The sequence below is a fragment of the Homo sapiens genome, chromosome 18, assembly GCF_000001405.40.
Source record: "Homo sapiens chromosome 18, GRCh38.p14 Primary Assembly".
NCBI classification, from domain to species: Eukaryota; Metazoa; Chordata; class Mammalia; order Primates; family Hominidae; genus Homo; species Homo sapiens.
The window spans coordinates 32,305,220-32,330,789 of record NC_000018.10 but is presented as its reverse complement, the minus strand read 5'-3'; the positions used below and the strand labels follow the sequence as shown (position 1 = coordinate 32,330,789).

The 25,570-nt window shown below is 39.4% G+C and overlaps 1 protein-coding gene across 6 annotated transcripts in view; it reads left to right on the top strand.

Moving 5' to 3' along the window:
* GAREM1 (GRB2 associated regulator of MAPK1 subtype 1) overlaps positions 1 to 25,570 on the top strand; it is a 207,361-nt gene that overhangs the window by 140,093 nt on the left and 41,698 nt on the right. For all 6 annotated transcript variants that reach the window (NM_022751.3, NM_001242409.2, XM_024451234.2 and 3 more), the window contains one exon: positions 20,467 to 20,597. In NM_022751.3, the coding sequence (NP_073588.1) occupies positions 20,467 to 20,597 (131 nt within the window). The remainder of the gene's footprint in view (positions 1 to 20,466; positions 20,598 to 25,570) is intronic.

The following is a 25,570-nucleotide window of genomic DNA, read 5'->3' as shown; positions in this document are numbered from 1 at the left end:
ATACTAATCTTAACTTTTCTCCCCAGAAATAAAAGCGTGGGGAAGATTTTGTTTCATCCCATTTCATCCTGATAGTACATTCCCCTCCCACCCTCCCATTTAAATGTATTTATTGTGCCTTTTTTCTTTGGCTCTGTTTTTCTAAAAGTGCAGTGGTTTGTATACAAATACTTTAAATTTACATAAACTGTATTGTGTTTTAAGTCTCATGTTTTTCATTTAGCATTATTTAAAGATACACCCTTGTTTCCAAATCTATTCTTTTTTTAATCATTTCAATTTTTATTTTAGATTCAGGGGATACATGTGCAGGTTTGTTATATGAGTACATTGCATGATGCTGACGTTTGTGATACAAATGATCCTGTCACCCATGTAAGTGAGCCTAGTACCCAATAGTTTTTCAACCCTTGCCTCCTTCCCTCCCCCCACAACTAGTAGTCCCCAGTGTCGATTGCTGCCATCTTGATGTCCATGAGTATCCAATGTTTAGCTCCCACTTGTAAGTGAGAACATACAGCATTTGGTTTTCTGTACCTGCATTAATTCACTTAGGATAATAGCCTCTTGCTGTATCCTTGTTGCTGCAAAAGACATGATTTGTTCTCGTTTATGGCTGTGTAGTATTCTGTGGTATATATGTACCACATTTTCTTTATACAGTCCATCATCGATGGGCCCTTATGTTGATTCCATATCTTTGCTATTGTGAGTAGTGCTGTGATGAACATATGAGTGCAGGCATCTTTTTGGTAGAACAATTTATTTTCTTTTTGTCAAAAATCTATTTTTGTTGTTGTGTGTTTATATGATCTCCAAAGGGTGAGCAGCAAAAATGATGCTGCCACAAATGTCCTCATGCATTCCCCCGACACTCTTGTGTGAAATTTCTTTGGAACTTATACACAGGGGTAGAATTGCTGGGTGTTAGTAATATGAAGAGTTAATTTGACTAAATGGTGCCCGATCACTCTCCACAATGGCTGCCCCAGCCCCACTCCCACCATAGTCCAATGAAATTTCTTACCTACATCAGGAACTTATTTTTTTTTAGCTTTTCAATCTTTTTTTTTTTTTTTTTTTTTTAATGGAGTCTCGCTCTGTCACCCAGGCTGGAGTGCAGTGGCGCAATCTCGGCTCACTGTAACCTCCGCCTCCTGGGTTCAAGTGATTCTTCTGCCTCAGCCTCCCGAGTAGCTGGGACTACAGGCATGCGCCACCACACCTGGCTAATTTTTGTATTTTTGGTAGAGACAGGGTGTCACCATATTGGCCAGGCTGGTCTTGAACTCCTGACCTTGTGATCCACCTGCCTCAGCCTCCCAAAGTGCTGGGATTGTAGGCGTGAGCGACTACACCCAGCCAGTTTTTCAATCTTAATAGGTGTGAAGCAATACCTTTTTTTTTTTTCTCCAAGACAGGTTCTTGCTCCGTTGCCCAAGCTACAGTGCAGTGGCACAATCATAGCTCACTGCAGCCTCAAACTCCTGGGCTCGAGTGACCTTCCCACCTTAGCCTCCTCAGTAGGTAGGACTATAGACACTTGCCACTACACTTGACTGATTTGGTTGATGTTGTTGCTGTTGAGGTGGGGTCTCACTGTGTTGCCCAAGCTGGTCTAGCATTCCTGGCCTCAAGTGGTCCTCCCACCTAGGCCTCCCAAAGTGTTGGGATTACAGATGTGAGCCACCATGCCGGGCAGAAGTAATAGCTTTTAATTTGCATTTATTTGGCTGGTTGAGCTTCTTTTCACATGCTTGCTAGTCTTCAGGGATACCTCCTTAGTAAATTGCCTGTTCATCATGTTCTTTGCCCGTCATTGTATTGGTGGTGGTGTCTTTCTTAATTTTCAGGATTTCACTGAATAATTTTATCATCAGTCTCTTTTCCGTTTTAGGCTTTGCAAATATCTTCTATTCTGTCACCTGTCAACTTTTCCCATAGTATCCTTAATTGAACAGAAAATCCTTAATCTTAAAGTAATCAATGTTTTGCTTATACTTTCTGCTTCTGAAGTCCTTCCCTGCCCCTAAGTGGTATCAGGTAGGAATTCATTTTTGTTTTTCTCCATATAATGAGCCAGTTTTACCAGCACCAGAGACTAAGTGATCTTTTCCAGTTGGCTTGTGGTGATATCTTTATCATATTATATAAAAATGTTTTGCATTTACCTAACCCTCTCTAACGTCATTTATTCCACAAAATGCTTAGATTAAAATGACTCAGAAGGCTAGAGGAAGAAGCTGCCTCCTGATGACTAGCAGGAATAGCACTCATGAAAATAATGTCAGAATGCTCTTATCCTGGCCTTGGAAAGTTTCAGCTAGACTTTAGGTGAAATACAGTGTAACTGCTGAAAGAAGCTATTACTTATTTACTCTGTTCTATCTACAGATTATCAACCACACCAGCCAGCATAAATTTAGGTCCTATCCCACTATCTCCTGCAGTAATTGAGTTTATCAACTCTCTAATCATTTTGTATTTAATAATTATTTGTGGGATATTCAAAATAAATATGCCATCCTAAATCACTCATCTTAAAAATTGAATAGACATTGGAAAAAATTCAAATCTGTATGTAAATGAAAGACAAGGAAACACAGAGATTTCGAAGTGTATTTCTGAGTGCTTTGAAATATCCTTAGCACTTCATACACTGCTTTGAACAGAGTAATACATTGATAAATAAATATCTTTGAAATTTTAATATTTTGACTAATAGTTTAAATGGGGAGGAAAAATTAATTTGGCCTGTATATTTAATTCTCTTATGGAATCTTGATAATAAAAAATAATATTCATATTATTAATCATATTACTGTGAATCAGAGGCATCTTGCCCTTTGTTGAGCATTGTACCTATATGGCCTCATTTAATCCCTGTAACAGTCCCATGAAGTAGGTATCAACATCCCCATTTTATATGTGAGGAAACTGAAGCCCCGAAATGTCCTCCTCTCAAGGTCAAGGCCAAAGCTGAGATTCAAACTTGTCTGTCCACTCCAAAGCTGGGCTCTTGTCCACTACTCACATTGCCTCATATTAGTCTCACTAAGTGATGTCTCACTAAATGAGGTTGTTTTTAAAAATATTTGAACACCACGTTGTGCATTTCATGCCAAGAACCCAACTTCATGTATTTAATATCCAGTCACACTCTAGGTTTTACAATAAAATTGTAAACATAATCCTAATCCTTCACTTTCTAGTCATTCTTTTCTTGTTATGCATATTTGCTGGTTTTAGGTATTGCAATCTCTATTTGCTTTCATCATCCCCGCTTTCTTCATCATGAGCTATTATCACCTTAGTATAATGAATTTTCTGTGTATAGTCTTTTGTTTGCAAGGCTAAATACTTCATCACTTGTCCCATGTACTAGATATTAATGAAGATAATGCTGTCTCTCTTTCAACAGTAAACATCAACATGAGTACATTAGTGAATCCATCTACTAATTATCTGATGACTATGTTTCTTATTTGTTATAAAATATTAGCCATAATTCCCATTCAGCATCTGTATAGGTTCTTAAATATTAATAAATTCTGAAAGTAGCCTTCCAATATCTCTGGCACTTAAGATGTTTTTGTTTTTTCTTTTTCAAGAAATAAAAATTTACAGCCACAAAATGAAAAAGTTGATCCCCTTTGTACAATATCAGAAATCATAATTGCTGACTCAGTTATTACAGTTCTTTTTACATTTCTCCCAGTGATTCCTGTTTTTAAAAAGCCTGGTCTTACATTAGAAAGAAGAGTGTTTTTTAATTTGGAATGTATCTCTGTTCCCTGACAAAGTCACTCCTCTCTAAAAGTACTTTTTCTCTCCAGCCTTGTTTATCCCATCAGACATTCCTGCCAGAAAGCAGCCCTGTTTACATAACTGCCCCTGTTGGATGGAATATTTTACTGAGCAACCATCCTACCCTTGCACCGCAGCCTGTTTAACATGGAAGAGGGTCAAAACCTGAAAGGCACTAGAGAATGCTCAATAAGCTGGATCTGTACTGAATAAAAGCGGAGGCATTTGGATGAAAATGAAGTATTGGGAGATGGGAGCAAGAGCAGGGGCATTTTGTCAGCAAAGACTAAAGAAAACAAAAGAAGACAGTGTCGGTCTCTTGTGAGGGGGTGGAAGGGAAAAACCATTTGCTGGTTTGGGAGTAGGACAAAGGTATGTATTGCCTGTTTGAAAGCATACTCATTCATTAAGCACTTTAGCAAAAATGGAGCTGCAGGTCAGCAGAGCAGCAACATGGCTATTTGCTTCTCTTCTCCATTTTTTAATTAAAAGAAAAAGACTTAGCAAGAGTGGGGGGCTCTCTACAATGTAGGGCCTTTGCGTTTTACTAGCCTTTCCATTTTTACTGCAGTTTTGACTGATTCCTAACAAGCATAGGACTCTAGGCCACTGTCATTATGGTCACAAATTTATTACAGGAATTATATTTTAAGCATGAGCCATTTTAATTGCATTTGCTCTTGGATTGAGCAGAGAGTTTAGTAGGTAGCTTGTCATGGAAAAGATCACACTTGTTATTTCCCAGTCTCTATCTTTCCCATAACCGAAGTCTCCAACCCGGTGGCAGTGAGCCACCCTGAATACCTTCTGCATAGCTCTTTCCTCTCTTCTTCCTATCTACCAAACTACTGATTGTGCCATCTTTTTATGTATGTCAAATTTAGAATACTTTTTGATGTCTCATATTCTGGAGCAGTTTTTCCAGGGTTACTGTAAGAAGGAGCTAATACGTTTCTCCTATTCAGTAAGTAAATCAGAATAATAGCATGATTACATTCCTTTTCATTCATGACAAGTGTATCTTCATCCTAAACTTAAACTTCTCTCTGACATACATGCTCATTGAGTCCTTGTCATGTGCCACTTACTGTGTTAAGCCCTTCATATATGTTTAGTCATCCTCGTAAGTCCAGTGTCAGTATTACTGTCCTGGATTATAGAACTGGAAAGCAAATGGAGATGTAGAAGGATATGATGCAACCAAAGTTGCATGATACGAGGGAAAGCCAGGATTCAAACTCTGGAAGTTAATACACTACCTGTTGTGCAAAGATTTGGGAGCAAAACGATCATCAGTGAGTATTATGTTGAATCCAAAATTAACAGTCCTGTGCTGAGCCATGAGAACAAAACGTGCCTTACTGAGACTGTCCTACCTCAGTCTTGAATCAAATGGGGGACTTTAAGGAGTTGCCTTCCTTTTTTCTGTTTTTTAAAGGCTTAATTTTTTAGAGCAGTTTTAGATTCACGGCACAATTGAGAGGAAAGTACAGAGATTTCCCATGTACTCCTTTCCCCACCACACGCAGAGCCTCCACCATTAACATCCTGCACCAGAGTGGTATATTTGTGACAATCGATGAACCTGCACTGACATGTCATAATAACCCAAAGTCCACAGTTTACATTAGGGTTCACTCTTGCTGTTGTACATTCTGTGAGTTTGGAGAAACATATAATGACGTGCATCTACCATTAAGGTAACATACAGAATATTTTCACTGCCCTAAAAAACCTCTGTGCCACACCTGTAATCCCAGCACTTTGGGAGGCCGAGGCAGGTGGATCACGAGGTCAGGAGTTCAAGACCAACCTGGCCAATATGGTGAAACCCTGTCTCTACTAAAAATACAAAAATTAGCTGGGCATGGTGGCGCATGGCTGTAATCCCAGCTACTCCGGAGGCTGAGGCAGGAGAATTGCTTGAACCAGGACCCAGGAGGTGGAGGTTGCAGTGAGCCAAGATCGCACCACTGCACTCCAGCCTGGGCTACACAGCAAGACTCTGTCTAAAAAATAAAAAACTTCTGTGTTCCACCTATTCATCCATTCCTCCTCCCTAACCCTTGGTAACCACTGATCATTTTACTGTTTCCATAGTTTTGCCTTTTCCAGAAATGTCATACATGGTATAATTTTTTTCAGATTGGCATCTTTCACTTAGTAATAGGCATTTAAGTTTCCCCCATGTCTTTTCATGGCTTGATTGCCTTGCCGTTTGTAGCTTAAATTTTTGGTGAAAATGTGTCTCTAACCTTGACAAAATGCAATGCAGAACCTATAGAGTATGTTTTTATTTTACTTTGTGTCTTTGCTAACTTTCCCATATCCAAGTCAATGCGCAAGCTGGCGTGGGTGTTAGAATTTGGACTGTCCTCCTATCCTCTTTTGATAATACTGTGTGTGCTCTATACTCCACTTTTAAGAAACCATTCGTGTTTCTGTACATGGAGTTTTAATCACTTCGGTTTTGGCACACAGGTTAAAAACTAAATCTCTCATAATCAAGGCACTTTTTTTCCTAATGAAAACCACAGCTCAAGCAGCTGCTTGTATTATTGTCTCTCCTCTGTGGTCCCACTGGTGTGTGGGAGTTTACTGTTAGGCTGTGGAAAAGGGAGCAAATAAGCCAAGAACAGGGTCATGTTTCAATTGAGAAATAATGGTGGAATGTTAAAATCCTTGAGTGTTTTCTTCACCCTCCTCACACTCTGTGTACGCAGTTTGGCTTTCTTTTTCCTTTCTAAATACTTCCATAAGGCGTAGAAGAGAAGCATAAGCACCATAGTACTGAAAATTCCTAGACACCTCAGCTTTGATTCTACACAGCTTGCCTTCACTTTTGCCTGTAGTTGTACGGTGGCAGCGTAGCTTTAGGGTCTGTTTGTGTTGCATATGTCAATCTTTTGTCCATCTGTGTTGGCGTGGTCTTCCTTTCCTTTGTCTGGGTTGAAATCATGTTTATTTGTGTAACTGTCATTTTCATAGGTCGATTTCTATGTCTCATTTTCTTTTTGTATCTATTTCCCTATCTCCCTCTCTCCCCATTTTTCTCTTTCCTTTATATTTTCTATTCACCTTTGTTTTCCCCTTCTCTTTTCATACTAAATAACTGAAAATTCTGTGAGTAAAAATTAAAGTTTAATTTTTGCTGCTCTTAATTTTTTATGTAGATTAAAAAATGAATCATTTTATATTTCTCCAAAAGGTTCTTCCTCAAGTAAAATTGCTTTTTACATATTGGAACCTTGATTGATTATTTATTTGTTTATTTGAGATAGGGTCTTACTCTGTCGCCCAGGCTGGAGTGCAGTGGCGCAATTTTGGCCCACTGCAACCTCTGCCTCTTGGGCTCAAGGGATTCTACTGTATCAGCCTCTCAAGTATCTGGGATTACAGGTGCACACCACTACACTTGGCTAAGTTGGCTAAGCACACCATGTTGGCCAGGCTGGTCTCGAACTCCTGGCCTCAAGTGATCTGCCCACCTTGGCCTCCCAAAGTGCTGGGATTACAGGTGTGAGCCACTGTGCCCAGCCAATAGTATAGGTCTTAAATGAGCTTTCTCATAATGCTTATGCTAAAAGCTGTAAAGAGTAGCCTTCCACTTCAGGACCGTGGCTTCAAATGAAGGTAGAATGAAGAGTTCCTGGACCCTAGACTTCCCACACATTTCTTGACCAACATTAACCCATTCACAAATACAACAGCATCAGCTAGATCAGTGATGTTGTAAGCCCTTGCTCAATCCACACCTATGCCCGACTCTCTTTAAGAAATGCAGAGCAGTTTTGGGGCTGGGTGACATTTTTTATTTGAGCCAACTATTAAAAACCATTAAAAGTTGAACACATTTACATAAAAATTTCCTGCCTCTGGGAACCAGCAGGTGCTGGAGCTATGAGGTCATCATTTCTACTTTTATCAATGTTACCAATTTGCAAGACTTTGTGGTCTCATAAGTATTTGAGTTTGAGACTCCCAAAAATATATATTTCTCCTGCTCTAAACACCTACTCTTCAAAGAAAGCATTTATTCAGTTTCTAGTTTGGACTCAAACTCAGCTATCAGAGAAGCAGAAGACATGATTCCAGCTGTTACGGCACTGCGGTCTAATTAAGAAAACAGCACAAAAGGAAGTAAAATAAGTAGAGAATCGGTGAATAGACTCTGGTAATCAACATAAATGAAAATCGTTTGAGCTGAAGTTGTCAAGGAACACTTCACAGATTATGTTGGACTTGAGCTGGCTCTTAAGTTCCTTCATTCAGCCATCATTTATTAGGCACCTTCTGTGTGTCTTGCCCAGTATTGAGTACTGGGAATAAAAAGGTGATTGACACATCTGCTTTCTTTAGAAAGTTTACTGGTTAGTTCACGAAGACAAGAAAACAAATAAGGACAATAAAATACTATACATGCTTTGATAAAAATCTGTAGATAATGCAGTCATTCAAAAGATAAGATTCTTTCAGGTGTTGTAACTGACCCCAATCTTTATAGTTTAGGTAATAAGTGAATTGATTTTGGAAAATAAATAGATTGGTGAAATCTGGGAATAGAGGAAAGGTATTCCAGATGGTGCATTCTATAGTCCGCTGTGGATGGATCTAGATGGATTTTAGCGTGATGAGAAGAAAGTGAGAGCCAGATCTTGGAGGCCTGTATACACATCTCCTATGTGCCACCCCTCCTGCAAATCTATTCTGTACCACCTCTACCCTGCTCCACCCCAGAAGCTAACCTGTAGGGTTAAATCAGCAGACTGTCATGCCTTTTAGTTTCAGCCAGTGGCTAAATAGCCTCAGCCAGAGATGGGCAGGAACAGAGCGAGGTCAAGGTCTTTTTTCTCTGTTGGCTTCCTCCCTTAAAAAAATCACTAGAGCCAGCTGCTTCTCCTTTTCTCAAAGCCAGGGTAATTATAGAAATCTTTGTTTCCATAGCTAGTCCCTCTCTTGTCCCTTGAGGCCAGTGGTGGTGACATCTCTGATACTATCCCCAGGTTATCACTGTGGTTCCCCTATAGCCTACCCACTTCATGACCAATAGTTCCATTGTACTTAAATCATGTGCACATTATCCTAAATTGAAATATGGTTAGATTTGAATTTTAAGCAATGGTGTAGGGATGGTTTCCTGGGGTGGAAATCTAGAGGCAAGACAATCAACTAGGAAAACTGGCCAAAGTGAGAGATGCTGTGGTTGGGAATATGTGGTAGCAGTGGAGACAGAAAGGATTTGATCAATGTAAGAAAAAGAATGGAGTTGAAGTTGACAGTAATTGAATGTGAGAGATTAGGGAAAAGAAAGTGTCAAGGATGACCATCCTTTCTGACTTTTATGGTCGCTTGATTCAGGAAGTAAAAAGATGATTTTAGTTTTGCATATTTTGATATTGAGATTTTTGTGGGAGAGCCATTGGAGAAGCCATTGGATAGGCTGATGTGGAATTTAGGAGAGATCCTGCTAGAGAGAAAGGTTGATGTATTGTCAACTTACATAGGTGGTCCTTGGAGCCAGGATGATAGAGGAGTTCCCCCAGGAGGGCTAAGAGAGTGAGGAAAGAAGCGGAATGAGAGGAAGACGGCCATGCACAGAACTCAGAATGTCATTAAAAGGGTCGATATTTTTGCACAGACTGAGAAAAGAGCATGAGCAAAGGCAAAGGAGAAAGAGTGAGTACTGGTTGCACAGATGGTGGGGAAATGTTTGCATAAGCTAAGTGGAGCAGATCATGGAGGGACTTAAATAAAAGCCGAGGCAGAGGAGTCTGGGCTTGGTGGTTAGAGATTAAAGAGCTATTATATGTTTATTTATTCATTTATTCTACAAGTGTTTATGGAACACTTAGGTTCTTGAGTGAGATGGATTTGTTTTAGGTTGTATTTTAAGGTGAATAATGTGATAATGGAAGGGCAGAGATGGAAACGGGCTTAAAATCTGAAGCAGTAATACCATTACAAAGTGATGAGAATCAAAACCAGAATAGTAGCAGTGAGTGCTCTGGACTAAGAGATTTCAAGGAAAGAAGTGCCGAGATTTCATAATGTATTAGCAACCATGTTCAATCTAAGACCTTTCTAGGTTCCATCATGTTTATGATAAATTTGTCCCAGAAAACTTCTGGTAATTCTGAAGAAGCAATTAACCAGTGAGATACAATGAAAAATGCAGTCTTCCCATTTTCAAAAAACAGGGAAACCAGTTTGCATGGTGTGAAATGGTTTGGCTGCTTAGAACATAGATCCCAGAATGGTTGAGTTTTGAATTCTGGGCCTAGTTAAGTTCAAGAATGGAGTTTCAGAATTGGAAGTAATGGTCTGACCACTTGCTTTATAAAATCTCAGATGGAGAAATAAATAGAAATAACCACAGATTATCTATGGTGCAGTTCATTATTTTTGATTGATGCCTTCTTTTCTTTGGTTTTAATTCCAATTCTCTGTGGTTGTATGTTTTGAGACTTTGTATTGAGACTTGTTCCTTACCCCTCCTTTCCCCCAACTCCACTTCCACTTCCTCCGCCATGAAAAAATAGTAATTTTAGGAACTAACTTCAAGTAATGTAGGGAATCAGATTTTAAAATAGGGAATGCCATGTTGTAGAATTTCAAGTTTTTGTTTTTATCATTAAGACTATGATTAAGATCAGCAGAAATTTCAAAGATTGGGAATAAGAAAATGAACAGAAAAGCCACATAATATGAAACATAGATTACTTATAAAAATAATTATGTCCTTTATAATAAGAAGAACACAATTACAATCCCAATGGAATGCTATTTTTCACCTGTTGGACTGGCAATGATAATTTTTCAGTTTGGTAATGAACTATTAGGAAAAGCATGAGGAAACGCATCGTTGTAAGAATGTAAGTGGACACAGACCTCTTAGTTTGACAATATGTATCAAGAATAAAAATGCATTTACCCTTTGGCTCAGCAATTCCTCATTTAGGCATTTTCCCACCAATGTACTTGGACTAAGTACTCAAAGCCTTCAGGACAAGCATATTTAACTTCAACATCACTGGGGCTGCAAAAGATTGGAATAAATGTGGGTGTCTATCAATAGCAGACTGGTTAAATTAGTTATGGTATATGCATGGGATGAAATAATGTGCAGTTCTTTTAAAGAATGAGACAGATTTTTATGCAGTGATGGAATAACTGTACAGAATGCAACCATTTGTTTTGAAAAGCGTAGCATTATGTGTGTATACTATATCAGATACTGCCTCTGGACAGATGTACAAGAGACTATATAGCAGCTGCTTCAGCAAGAAGATCTGAGGGTAAGATTGGGAGGGAGACTTACTTTTTCACCCTACACCCTCTAGTAGTACTATTTGGATTTTTTGGCATGTACATACGTTAGGCAGTCTTTAAAAGTCTTCCACCTTACTCAGGGAAACAAGTGAGGTAGCATTCACTGTTGATGAAGGATTTAGTTAAATGAGGTTTCATACACTTAGTGGAGGTGAACATTTATACAAAGGTTAAAAAGGCAATATATATTGGTTGGTGCCATACAAAATGAAGTGCTGCATATCTTTTATGGGGCAATCCTACTTTTACATTTTCATCCCACAGAAACTCTAGCTTACATGCATACATAAGATTAAAATACAAGAGTGTGTTTGAACTTTGGTATTGTTTTGTAAGTCCACATTCCTACCCAGGTTTATTTACTTATTGAAAAATGGCAACTGGCTACTTGTTTCTGTCACTTGAGAATTGCTGATCTCTTCACATTTGGATATGGGCCAGTGGTTTGAAGGGCCAGTTATTTGAGCCATTTTTAATGCATTTCATTTGTACAGTTGACTTGGAACCATCTAAGTTTGTCTGTGGCCTGTCTCTGAAAAAGGTAAGAGAAGAAAAGTTCATTCATTCACTATTTAGTAAGCACCTGCTTTATGCCATGTGTGGTATGATGCTGGAGGTACCACACTGAATCACAGACCTGGACCCTCCCCTTCATGGCATTTTCAACATTCTAGGCTTCCTTTTCCTTAATCTTTTTCCTCACATTAGCCATTTTTAGGTTTCTTTGGTGTTCTGGTCCCATTTCTGTTGCTCTTGCTTTCTTTTCTACTTTAACATTTTGGGCTGGTTTCAGCAACATTTTTCTGCTCCCAGTCATGGAGGAGATGACAACAGAATGTTGCTCACTTGAGTTGTGGGTCCACAGATGGACACTGTGGGCCTCAGCTGTCATTCCATTTCTTTTTATTTGATACACAAAGTAGACTGCCATGCTGAAGGGATGGCAGACAGTAAAACTACAGCTGCAAAAGAGGGCCCACCGCAGGTCATGCTGACTGCCACTGGTGATGGCGAACAGTGAGGCACACATCATGCGGAGCTGCATCTTCATCGGTGGCACTAACCCTAACTTCCCAACCAGAAGCAAACTGGACAGACCTGAATTTGACCACCTCTAAGTCTGCCTTTTATTTCTTCATATCTCGGCATTGTTGCTGTCTTCTTAATTAGCAAAATTTGTTTCCACTTTTCATTTCTGACAAGTGACCTTTCCCTGTAAGTAAAGGAGAGTGAAGTTTAGTCCCTTCAGCCCCATACAGATGATCGAAACTTAGATGAAGGAAGGATTTGGAGCATCTTAGCTGATGTGTTATCCATTCTGAAATAACTCACTGTGGCTATCTTGAGGGGCACACACAAAATGGATATTTTCTAGATGACGGTTATTTCATAATGTCAGTTATGAAATACAGTTTTAGAAATACATCATGAAATATAGCTTCCATCTTTGCTTTTTAAATATTACCATAAATTTATTTAAACCATAATCAGCGAGCATGTCATTGGTGTTGAATTTGTTCCTGGAACTTTCAGGGGCCTGCAGATGGAACAGCTCTTACAATGGAGACATTTTATGAAATCATCAAAGCTCCTGAAAGACAATGCAGCTTCCTCCCTTTCAAGAACAGAGTTTGACAGTAACATCTCAGAACAGATGTTTCAACAATCTCCAAATGTTTTTATTTGGTGGCACAAAGACTCTGTTATTCGTGAAATGGTCTTAAAAAATTAGTTCCTCCATGTGGGGATTGTGGGAATATGTGTCATGTAAATTGATTTCACTTTTGGCAGGAAACTGGCTCTTAACTCTTTAGATTGTCTCCAAGATTTGACTCCAACAAGTTCCGATTTCCAGGACACAGCAATCACAGAGGAGGTAGTAATACTCAGCATTTTTCCCAGAGTACTTAACGTTGGCTAATCTGAGAATGTTACATTCTTTAAAAAAAAAAAAAAAAAGCAACAGCGAAATAAAAGTTCATAGAAATTTTATCTTGCAAAACACAGTGAGAAAATGTAGGCCTTCATGTTTGCTGGTTATTTACATTATTCTTTTAATATAAGTCCACTTCTACAGCTTTTACTTGTTGATATTAGACTCCTGTTTGAAGGCAAAACTGCCATTCAAAGACAAACATGAGCAACTTAGAATGTGATTTCAGGTACCTTACAAGAGACTCTGGTATGACTGTTCAGTGGTATGCAATAAAAGGACGAGTCACTTTCTTTTCTTTGCTTTGCTTTTTTTTTTTTTTTTTTTGTGACAGAGCGCTCTCACTGGAATGCAGTGATGCAATCTCAGCTCACTGCAACCTATGCCTCCTGGGTTCAAGCAATTCTTCTGCCTCAGCCTCCCAAGTAGCTGGGATCACAAGCATGTGCCACCACTCTAGGCTGATTTTTGTATTTTTAGTAGAAACGAGGTTTCACCATGTTGGCCAGGTTGGTCTTAAACTCCTGGCCTTCAGTGATCTGTCCACTTCGGCCTGCCAAAGTGCTGGGATTACAGGCGTGAGCCACCGCGCCTGGCCCATTCTCACTTCTAATGTCTTGTCTTGCCACTGCCCTGACCTATACTTTCCACTCCTTCCAGCAGGACAGAAGTCAGCACACTGTGGCCTGTTTTCGTAAATAAAGTTTTCTGGAGCACAGCTGCTCTTATTCACTTGTGTGTTGTCTATGGCTGATTTTGTTGCCCTACATGGCCAGAGTTGAGTAGATGTGAATAGAGACTGTTTAGCTCATGAAACCTAAAATATTTACAGAACAAGTTTGCCAACTCCTGCAATAGGAAGTTGCATGTGTATTGTGACCTAGTGTTTAAACATTACATTAAGAAAATATTTTATAGGTTTTAGCTATTTCTATTTTAAAGACATTTGTGGGGCGCAAGAAATGCAAAGTAGGGCTGCATACGGTGGCTCACACCTGTAATCCCAGCACACTTTGGGAGGCTGAGGTGGGCAGATTGCTTAGGCTCACAAGTTTGAGACTATCCTGAGCAACATGGCAAAACCTCATCTCTACAAAAAAATACAACAATTAGCTGGGTGTGGTGGCATGCACCTGTAGTCCCAGCTACTTGGGAGGCTGAGGTAAGAGGATGGCTTGAGTCTGGGGAGCCAGTGAGCCAAGAAGGTACCACTGCACTCCAGCCTGGGCAATAGAGCCAGACCTTGTCTCAAAAATAAAGAAATGTAAGGTAGTATTTGGTTTTCAATAATTTAACATCACAAGAGAAAGTTTAAAATATAATATGTGTACACAAATATGTAAATTAAAATCTTCCAGGATGATCTGAAAACACTATGGAAAAGAGAAGAGAGAAATTAACTGACAATTGGGTATTCACTAAACAATTGAAAGAACGAATGAAAGGAATCTATTAATCTGATATACTATGTGCATAAATGTTAACAGTTGTAGCATTTGGCCATATTTAGCTGTTAGTTTTTTTCCTTGTTCTCTTATCTGTGTGTGTTAATCATTCTCAGTAGAATTTCTTATACATGCTCCCATGTATATGTGATTCTGAAGTCTTCCTGTCCAATAGGATGACAAAACACAGATGACTATGCAGCTTAATATGGACCCTATGACCATACCAAAAGTGATTATTCATTTGTTCTGTATGCCAAAATATGTTTGAGGCTACTGATAGTACAAGATCACAGACGCAATAGAAAAATAATTAAAAAACAAGAACCCAAGTTGGGAGACAAGGGGATAAAGGTGGTTATATTAAGAAACCAAGACTCTGTTATTTAGGCCAAAATATCAGCAATCATGGCAAACAAGGCAAAAAGGAAAATAGGAATTACAAAGCTCTTCTTATTTCATCAGAAGAAACATTCTTCTTTTTCAGGAAATACATCTTTTTCCCTAAGAGGATTGTATCATGTAATCTTTATTTAACGACTTGAACAGTACCTGCAATCACAGTTTTAAGGGAATGCAGAGATATTCTAGACCTGCACCAACTGTCCAGTATGACAGCCAGTAGCCACATGGAGCTGTTGAGCATTTGAAATGTGGCTAGTCTGAACTGAGATGATCCCTAAGTGTAAAACATACACCAGATTTGAAAGACTTAATGCAAAAGTATATATATATATATCTACTTTTATATATATTTTTATATATATCTACTTTTTTATATATTTTATATATATCTACTTTTATATATATTTATATATATACTTTTATATATATTTTTTTATATATACTTTATATATATTTATATAATACATCATTAGTGATGTTTAATTGAATTTAGATGTATTGGTTTAAATAAAATATGTTATTTAAATTTTACCTCTTCTCTTTAAATGTGGCTACTAGAAAATATGTAATTGCACATGTGGCTTGTTATATTTCTGCTAGATAGCACTATAGTGTATCTATATCTGCTAGATAGTCTATAGTATAATGTTTGATATATTAGGGTGCAGTGATGCATCCTTGGCCTGTGAGTACATTTCTGAAGGGACAGAATGAAATTTATTATAGGCATGACGCTTTCAGGTAACCTCTTACCTCAGAGATTGAGCATCTGTAGACTACTCAATGAGTGTTTGGCATACATATGAATCCCTGCATCTTGAGAACATTTTTCTAAAATACTCATCATAAAATTACAATAAATTAAACTTATTAAATACTATTGAAAAGATACCATTTGCAGGTTTTCATGAAAGTATACCTGGCTTAATGATAGCTTGAAATGTGTTCATATTCCAAATCTATAATTTCTTAATCAAAAAAATTGGCAGGGCGCGGTGGCTCACACCTGTAATCCCAGCACTTTGGGAGGCTGAGGCAGGTGGATCACGAGGTCAGGAGTTTGAGACCAGCCTGACCAACATGGTGAAACCCTGCCTCTACTAAAAATACAAAAATTAGCCAGGCATGGTGGTGCATGCCTGTAATCCCAGCTACTCAGGAGGCTGAGGCAGGAGAATGGCTTGAACCTAGGAGGCGGAGGTTGCAGTGAGCTGAGATCGCAGCATTGCACTCCAGCCTGGGAGACAGAGCGAGACTCCGTCTCAAAAAAAAAAAAACAACAACAAAAAGTGACCCAAGAAATGACAATCTGTATGCATCTTGAGAAGAGGAATAGAAGCTAGGAGTTGTTGAATGGTCACTTGTGCTGAATACTTTGGATGCGTCATATCATTTAATCCTCATGGCGGCCCTTGAAGTGTCCCCATTTTACAGGTGAGGAAACAAGACTCAAGTGGATTTGTAACTTGCCAGCACCACAAAACTTGAAAGTGGCAGAGTCTGCATTTAAATTAGGCATCTGTCTAACTTAGACTAATCATGTAAGAATGGAAAAACAGTTAAATCCATTATGAAATGGTATGCAGACATGGGTGTCATTGCATGGAGAATTGCTCAGCTCAGTGGGCAAGGGCACGGTATAAAACTGTAGAACACCATAATTGTTAAGAATTTGTGCATGGACCAGGTAGGAATAGAGACAAATGAAAAGTTTAACTTGTGATAGAATTTGTTTAAATAAGTGTTATTTTGAAATTGCCTTATTTAAAAAAAAAAAAAACTTTTTTTGTCAAAAAGTATGTACTGTAACATATTCATACTGTATATTCAAATGTATTATTCATACCCCTACATATTTCTATGTGGTATATGAGCTGTTCTTTCATGTCTAGGTTCATCCTCTGTATTGTCCTTATCACCTACCTCTTAACTCCTGAAAACTCCTCCCTCATGGTCCCTCACCAGCAAAACCTCTATATCCTTAAAGCCTTCTTTGAAATTACTTTTATCTTGTTAAGCCCAAACTTGGATATTCCCTGAGAGAAGCCCTTTCAGGTGGCAGCTCTATTTTTTGCCCCAAAGTAGAGGAGTATAAGTGGTCTCTTTATTCTTCCTCATCACCTTTACCATTCCACTTCGCAATTCCCTAAAAACTCTTTGCTTTAAACCGCTTGTCCACCAGGCTTTAAACCTCTTGTTCATCAGACTGTATCACCCACTACCCCATCGTTGTCAGTTACCTACCAAGCCTAGGATTCTGTCCTCATTGTGACATAATTTTAGTTCCTGGCTTGCTGTTATTCTCTCCAGATATACTCCTCTTCTTGTCAAGGAGGATTTTCCTTGGAAATATGATCCTTTTAATACCCCTGGGCTTCTCAGTCATTTAGCTGTTTGCCATCTCAACCTTTAGCAGACATGGTCCCTCCTTAGACCACATCATAACCAACAACTCCATCCTTCCATTTTTTCAACTGCATGCACTGACTTCTCTCCTTTGCATGGCTTTTGAGCTCACTCCCTCTAGGGTTCAAAACTCAATTCCATCAAAATCCATGATCCATTGATCCCACTACTTTTTTCCCGGACCCACTTCCCTCCCACCCAGGATCCTGTGCCCATTTTATCCAGCTCAGTGTCCATGTTCAGGTGGCATAATTGCTCCCGGTGACATCCTGACTCCTTTGCCCCTCTCACTTCTCATATTCACTTGGTAGTCTCGGCTCTGGCTGAATCTGAATCTCTGGCTACTTTATGCCAGCCTCTGTGCATCTGACCTTGGCTGGACAAAAACACAACTGTACTCTGTGGTTTTACTTTTAATTAATGACCATGAACCTCAAGTAAGAACTTAAAAAATGCTGCCCAGCAATCATATTACATTGCAACCTTCTCTTTCCTTAACCCTCTAACAACTCCTCTCTCAACCTTATTCTCAACCAATGCCTTCCTTCCAACTTTGGCTGGAAAAATTGGAAGCTTCCAACAGCTTCCACTGCTGCATCTCTTGGGGCTGGAGATGAATGGCCTGTGCTCCTGTCTGAAGGCAGCTCCTCCATTTCAACATCAGATGCACGTTCTCTGCCTGCTCAACAATTGGGTTCCAATCATTTCTCCTGTCATCACCTTGTTCCCCTCTGCTGGTCATTCCCATCAGCATGCAAGCATGCTTGTTTCTTCTCCCATCATACTAAGGAAAATAAAAACATTTCCTACATCTCACTTCTGCTTCCTCTCAGTAGCCTCTGTTCCATCTCTCTTCTCTATTTTATAGCAGAACTCCCAAAATATCTGGTGCCCATTCTTATTATTTCTGGTTTCTCTCTCTTCCCAGGCTGCCTTCAATCCAGTTCTGCCAAGCTTTTAGCCCAGCTCTTCTGCTGCCCTTGTTGAAGTCCTCAATTAAATACAAGTTGCTGAATCCTACAGTTTTCAGCCCTCATTTCACTGTCCTGTAAGCAGCATTTGACACCCACTCACCATTCATGAGAGGAATCAGATCACCTGGCTTCTTGGATGCATCCCTCTTGGTTTTCCTCTCACTCCCCTGGCCGGTCCTTCTCAGTCTCCCAGGACTCAAACCTTAGACCTCTTCTCTGTTCACACTCAGGCCCATGGTCATCATCATCAAAATGTCATGGCTTCAAATAACATCTGTTAGCCGATGACTGCCAGATTTATTCTTTCCAGCCAGACTTCTCTCCTGACCTCCACACTTCGGTGTCTAAGAACTTTTTGAACATCTCTGTTTGCGTGTCCAATAGACATCTCAGACTTACCTGTCCAGACTGAACTCCTGATCCTCCCTTCACCCTCCAAAGCTGTCCTGTCTCAGTCAATGTCAGCTCTGTTCAGAGTTGTTCAGGCCAGGGTCCTCACACTTTAACCACTTCCCAGCCCCTGCCATGTCATACCTGAATTATTGTAGGAGCCTTCTACCTGGTGTCACTTGCCTCTGTGCCTTGCACCTTTATGGTCTTCTCAACATGCCAGCTAGAGGGATCCTTCTGTAGCATTGGTTAGATCACCAGCTCTCCGCTCAAATCCCCATTCCACTCAGGTGAAGAGTGCAACTCCTTAAAAGGCATATACAGTCTGACCACCTGCTACTGCTCTAACTTTCTTTCCCCTCTTCCCTTATCCCACTCCAGCCATAGTGGCAGCATGCCAGGCAGGCAGCCCACCCACCTGAGAGTCTTTGGGCAGACTGTTGCCTAGTCTTAGAATTCCGAGACCTCTAACTGCAACTACCAAGCACGACCCTCCCTCACCTACACCAAAGGTCACCATCTCAGCAATACTGATTGGTCTCCCTGCACTCTCCATCCCCCACACCCTGCCCTAAATTTAATAGCATTTCTCACCTTCTACCATGGTATACTCTTACTCATGTATTATAGTATCCATCTCCTGCTGGAATGTAAGCTTTGGAAGAACAGAGATTTGTGTTAATTCCATTAATTGATGGATCTCCAGCATCTAGAATAATGTCTCCACCTAGTAGATGCTAAAAAATTGTGTTGAGAATATGAATGAAAGTTTTCCTATTTCTGCCTGAGAGATTTTCCCATGATAGCTTTTAATTCCTTTTAAGTTTCTGGAGTATTATATTATAGCCAGGATTCAGAAAATAACTACTAAGAAACACTGTATCCCTGATATGATTGCATATGGTCTTTTATTCCAAACTGAAAACAGTTCTTCTCAAATGTTGTAGCAGGGTCACAGATACTGAAAATGTAAACAACAACATGATAGATCCTTGATATTTTAGGAATATGTTCAAAGTTCTTCATAAATCCTGTAAATTGTGGAGACCATGATATGGCCTACTCGCATGAATTTCATATATAGCAGTAAAAGGAAAGAAAGGAGCCACATGGAGCTCTGGAGGCTGAGTGGCCGGCAGGCTCAGTGGTTGAGAGGAAGCTCACCAGACAGCTGTCTGCTGCTGCTCCATGCTTCTGCCTCAGCAGCATCACACATTACAGCAGCTCATGAGCCCTAGACATTACCTGCATATTGTTCTAACCAGGAATATGAGTTATGTGAAAGCCAGGAATCCATTATATCATTTTGTTCTATTTGCAAAAAAAAAAAATTTAATACTAATTTTTAAAAGTTAGCTCTCCCAGGCTTCTAAGACTCGGTTCTAGAATGTAAATGTGTGGTTCGTACAACAACTGATGGGCAAGGTAACTTCAATGTTTAACTTACTGTTAAAAACAACCATTTATAGCAAAGTGAGTTTTCACTTTGAGATCAAACAGCAAGTAAGCATTCATTCAGTTTGATTTTGGACATCTGGGAATAAACTCTCAATGTAAACAAAAAGAATGCAGTTTATTTTCATTTTTAAGCTGATTTTAAAATCTATCTATCTTCTAGTTTAATGGAACCTCCCATAATGCCTTTTTAAAAAGATTAATGATGAACAGGAATCTTTGACAAAAAAAGGGCTGGGGTAAAGAGAGAGGATGTTGTTGCCATGGTAACAGCAGTCCAGCATAAACATCTTAGATCTCTTCTGTTTATCCTGTGTTTTAGGGCAATTCAAGCTGCTGGAACAAGACCGAGATATAAAGGAGCCAGTGCAATATTTCAACAGTGTGGAGGAGGTGGCTAAGGCATTTCCTGAACGCGTGTACGTCATGGAGGATATCACATTCAACGTGAAGGTAGTAGCTCTTGAAGCACCAAATATTTATACTCACTAAAGATAATTTAACTTTCAAGTCTGGATGTACACAGTAAGTGTTCATCTGTGTCTCCTAGGAGGGTTTTATCTTCTAATAGTTAGTGGCAGTAGCCAAAACCACATATATTGTAGCTGACCTGACTCCCTGACTGCTTCTGTATTTATTAGCATTATCTTTTGTTAGAATTTAAAACTGATATCTGAGTTCAAAACTGTAGCTGTTGAGGCATATAAGTGATATTTTTTAAAATTTGGACTTCATTTTCTAATATGTAACAGTTGTTTAGCCAGATCTCCACTTCTGGGAGCAAAAGGGATATGATGAAACTAAATAATACCAAACACTTATTTAAAAAGAAAGAAAGAGAGGAAAAATACAAAGATAGAATAGGTTTCTAAGCATTTCTTGAAGTCAGCATGTATTCATTCCATTCTTTGTGGACTATCTATTTCACTATATATAGAGAAAACTGATATTGCCCAGAGAAAAGCTATATAGTGTTTGTTGTGCTCTATTTGTTCTGCATTCTTTTTTTTTTTTTTTTTTTTTTTTTTTTGAGACTGAGTCTTGCTCTGTCACCCAGGCTGGAGTACAGTGGCGCGATCTCGGCTCACTGCAAGCTTCGCCTCCCTGGTTCATGCCATTCTCCTGCTTCAGTCTCCCCAGCAGCTGGGGCTATAGGCACACACCGCCACGCCCAGCTATTTTTTTTGTATTTTTAGTAGAGATGGGGTTTCACCGTGTTAGCCAGGATGGTCTCAAGCTCCTGACCTCGTGATCTGCCCACCTTGGCCTCCCAAAGTGCTGGGATTACAGGTGTGAGCCACCGTGTCTGGCCTTGTTCTGCATTCTTAAAGGGACAGTGCAGTCCTTGTCCAGATGTTGACCGAGGTCCTTTGACTAGACTTGCTGTTGAAGAGGGACTGACCAGAGAAGCAAGCCACCAACCAGGCCCATCGTATTGCCTGCAAATCTTCCACATTTTCTCCAGCAATACTCATAATTACACTAAAACACTTTAGAAAGTGTTCACATTGAAGGGGTTTTCTCTTTAATGTCATTTCAGCCCAAAGTCCACCTAAATCACATTTTCCAAACATTTCAAGATTTAGGGGGTCAAGATTCCTGTTTCTTAGAAATCCACTCTATGTGAAAAACAGACTACATGGTGTCTTGGCCCAAGAATGCAGCAGTGTCTTTGTGGATGAGTCATTCCACCCACACTCTTCAGGAAAGGGAGGAGATGCCTAGGACAGCCCCTTATTGGAGAAACGGTTCTGCCCATTTCATTGTCTAAGCTAAGTCATTTCTTCTTCCAGTTCCAAAATACAGCTGCTTTGGTCTACGCTCTTTAGTTTTATTATTAAGATGAGTGATATTTTATATTTTGTAAAATCTTTACTAAGTAAATTATGCTTACATACAAAAATATTTATCGTTTTTAACTTTTTCAGTGGCCCTAATACATGAGCAGTCAAGACAGCTTGCATTTGTTTACAGTGAAAACTTGTGCAAACATGTTCATTTTTAAACATACCTAGACTCATTGGTCAGAAGTTAAATCCTATTCCATTAGTGTTTTGATATGACTTAAATCTCTCCCTAAAACTTATATTTAGAATTCTCTAAATGAAAAAAAAATAAGTTTTTTTTAGAAAGTTAGTAGTTTTAAACTCCTTTCTAGAAAAATATTTCATTTGCTAATAAAGAAATCAAATGTAAATTTTTAAGTGATTTTTAAAGATTTTCTCTAGTATTAAAATGTAACATTCCATCTTTTGCCACATATTGCTCATGTATACTATTTTTTTAAATGCCTCTAGCAGCTTTTCTTGGTGAATTTGTAGTAAGTCAGAATGACTGAGAGGATAACACTTAAATTTATACATTTTAGAGTTCTTTTTTTAATATAGAATACCATGACTGAATGTATTCATTAAAATGTGTTTAATAGAGAATATCATTTAAGAGTTCAAAGGCTCAGTTAAGTGTGTGAAGTATGAGCTTATAGCATCCATAAAACTAATTGGATTTGGGTTGAGTTCTGTGCTGTGCAAACATAAATATTTAATATTTCTAGTCTGTTACTTATGGAGTTTTAAGGTGCCATCACCTCTAGCTTGCATGAATCATTAAAACATTATTCAATTCTGTTCAAAGAAGGATTGTTATAGGAACCTCAGGAAATTTACATAAAGAAATACACAAAAGGTTTTGTGCTTAGTGATAAACACACAAGTAAATAAATAAACTAAGGATAGTCATAGAAAAGTTTGTCTGGATACCACCTGGACCAGTAATAAAGGCTGGAAGTCATGGTCTTCTTCAATTAAAAATAGACTGGATTAAGCCAGGGCACAGTGGCTCACACCTGTAATCCCAGCACTTTGGGAGGCTGAGGCAGGTGGATCACCTGAGGTCAGGAGTTCAAGACCAGCCTGACCAACTTGGTGAAACCCCATCTCTACTAAAAATACAAAAATTAGTTGGGCTGGTGGCACACACCTCTAATCCCAGCTACTCGGTGGGGCTGAGACAGGAGAATTGCTTGAACCCAGGAGGCAGAGGTTGCGGTGAGCCGAGATCACGCCATTGCACTCCAGCCTTAGCGACAGAGTGAGACTTCATCTTAAAAAGAAAACAAAAAGTCTGGATTATTGTGTCTGTGTGAGAACTAAGAACTAGCAGGGGAGGAGTTAAAGAAATGGGATTTTGGTTATTCTCATGGAGAAGGTGGGAAAAAATTAAAAACAATACTCTTTACTCATAAATGTAGCTATTATCCAAGAAGCAGTTTTTAAAAGAAAGATTTCAAACCTTCTTAGAAGATTTCACCCTCTCTCTTCTACTTCAGATACAGCGTAAATTAAACCAAAAGGATAAACCACTGAGAAAAGCACTTGCAGTTAAAAATTGATAGTTACCTGGCATCATGATAATCAAGACATTATTATTAGAAATAAATATACATATGTATCCTGATATATTTATTTACAAGTCCAAACTGAAATTAATCTTAATAAGAATGTAAAATAAAGCAAAAGTATTAGAAAAAGGGGAACTCTAGTTCTGGGTTTCTTCACAAACTGTAGCAAAATTTTAACTTCAAATTTTAAATTTAATGGCTAGTACTAGTACTATTTATACATTTGTTGAAAAATGAAACATTCTTTTTAATTTGGAACTAAAATTTGTCTTTAAAAGATACCTTGATGTGTTTAAAACTATCTGCCTGATTGGCCCCATCGATTAACTGCGTGAAATGAATTCATATGCATTAAGTGTTTAATTCTTTAACCAGCAAATATATTTTGAGCACTTACTATATGCCCAGCACTACTGCAGGCACTGGGGGTAAATAGTAAATATGCAAGTCCCTCACTGCATGGAGATTACAGTATAGTAGGGGAGGTAGACAAGAAATACATAAACAAGTATCAGTACTACCTCCAAGTAGAGATATCAAGAATCAGTTGGATCTACAGGTTGGGAGCTTAGAGAATAGTCTAGGCTCAGAGTATCTAGTTGGGGCTCATCATCTTCTGGAAGACGTTTGAAGCCATGGGTCTAGTTGAGTTTACCTGTACCAGTGATTCTCAACCAGGAGTGACTTTGTCCCTCAGGGGACACTGGCAGTGTCTGTACACAGTTTTGATTGTCATGACTGTGGGGTGGAGGATGTTACTGTCATTTAGTGGGTGGGGGGGGTTGCTGCTAAACATTCTGTGATGCACAGGACAGGCTCCCATAACAAAGGATTGTCCAACCCAAAATGTCAGTAGTGCCAAGGTTGAGAGGCATTAACCTAGAGACAAGATTAAAAGGAGAAGAGCTCTGAGGACTGAGCCCTGGAGTACCCCAGCATTTAGGGGTCTAGAAGAGAAGACTGGATAGGATAGCAGTGAGGTAGAAGGACAGCCAGGAGCATATGGTGTCCCAGAAGCCAAGATTCAAGAAGGAATGAGCAACTGTGTCAAATGCTACTTAGTAATTGAATTAGATGAGGACTGAGAACTAACCATGAAATTTAGCAAAATGTGAAGGTCATGAGTGGCCTTGATAGGAAGCAAATAATAATCAGCTCTGAGACTGGAAAGTGAGTTAACCAGGACAGTACAGTAGGGTGGTCCTAGAGTTTAGTCAAGGTAAGTTTCAAGTGAGATTACTCAGCACTACCCTTTCTTCCAGCCATTTTCGGCTCCCTCGATGCAGGTATAGAGTAGACCAAGAGAGCTGAGTTTAATGAGAGTTGAGGTTCTCCCAGTGAGTATAGCAGAGATCAGCAAAGGTGTTGATGGAATGTGCCCTAGAGTGAGTGACAGGTCACACTGAGCCATGGAATCCTCACTGGGGGCTGGGTGCAGTGGCTCATGCATGTAATCCCAGCACTTTGGGAGGCCAAAGCGGGTGGATCACTTGAGGTCAGGAGTTCGAGACCTGCCTGGCCAATGTGGCGAAACCCCGTCTGTACTAAAAATATAAAAATTAGTTGGGCATGGGGGTGCATGCCTGTAATCCCAGCTACTTGGGAGGCTGAGGCAGGAGAATTACTTGAACTTGGGAGGCAGAGGTTCCAGTGAGCCAAGATCGCGCCACTGTACTCCAGCCTGGGTGACAGAATGAGACTCCATCTCAAAAAACAACAACAAAAAAGAAGAATCCCTACTGGCTAACCAAGCGTGAATAGAAGTGTAGCCCCAATGAGAACTGGACTTATGAGATAGATATGTTTGAGAAAATGAGATGCAAAATAGGAGGTGGTGGTAGAGTGTAAAACTCTTGAAATTTAACTTTAGGCAGTAAGATCGGTAATGACAGGAGTAGCTTTATTTTCTGATCTAAGTATGTCCATTTGAGTGAGCAGCTGGGGTGGTAGAAACAGAAAGTGGGAGATGAGAGAGTACAGAAAATAAAAGGATATGTGGGCAGGTTACCTCTCACTGATGATTTGC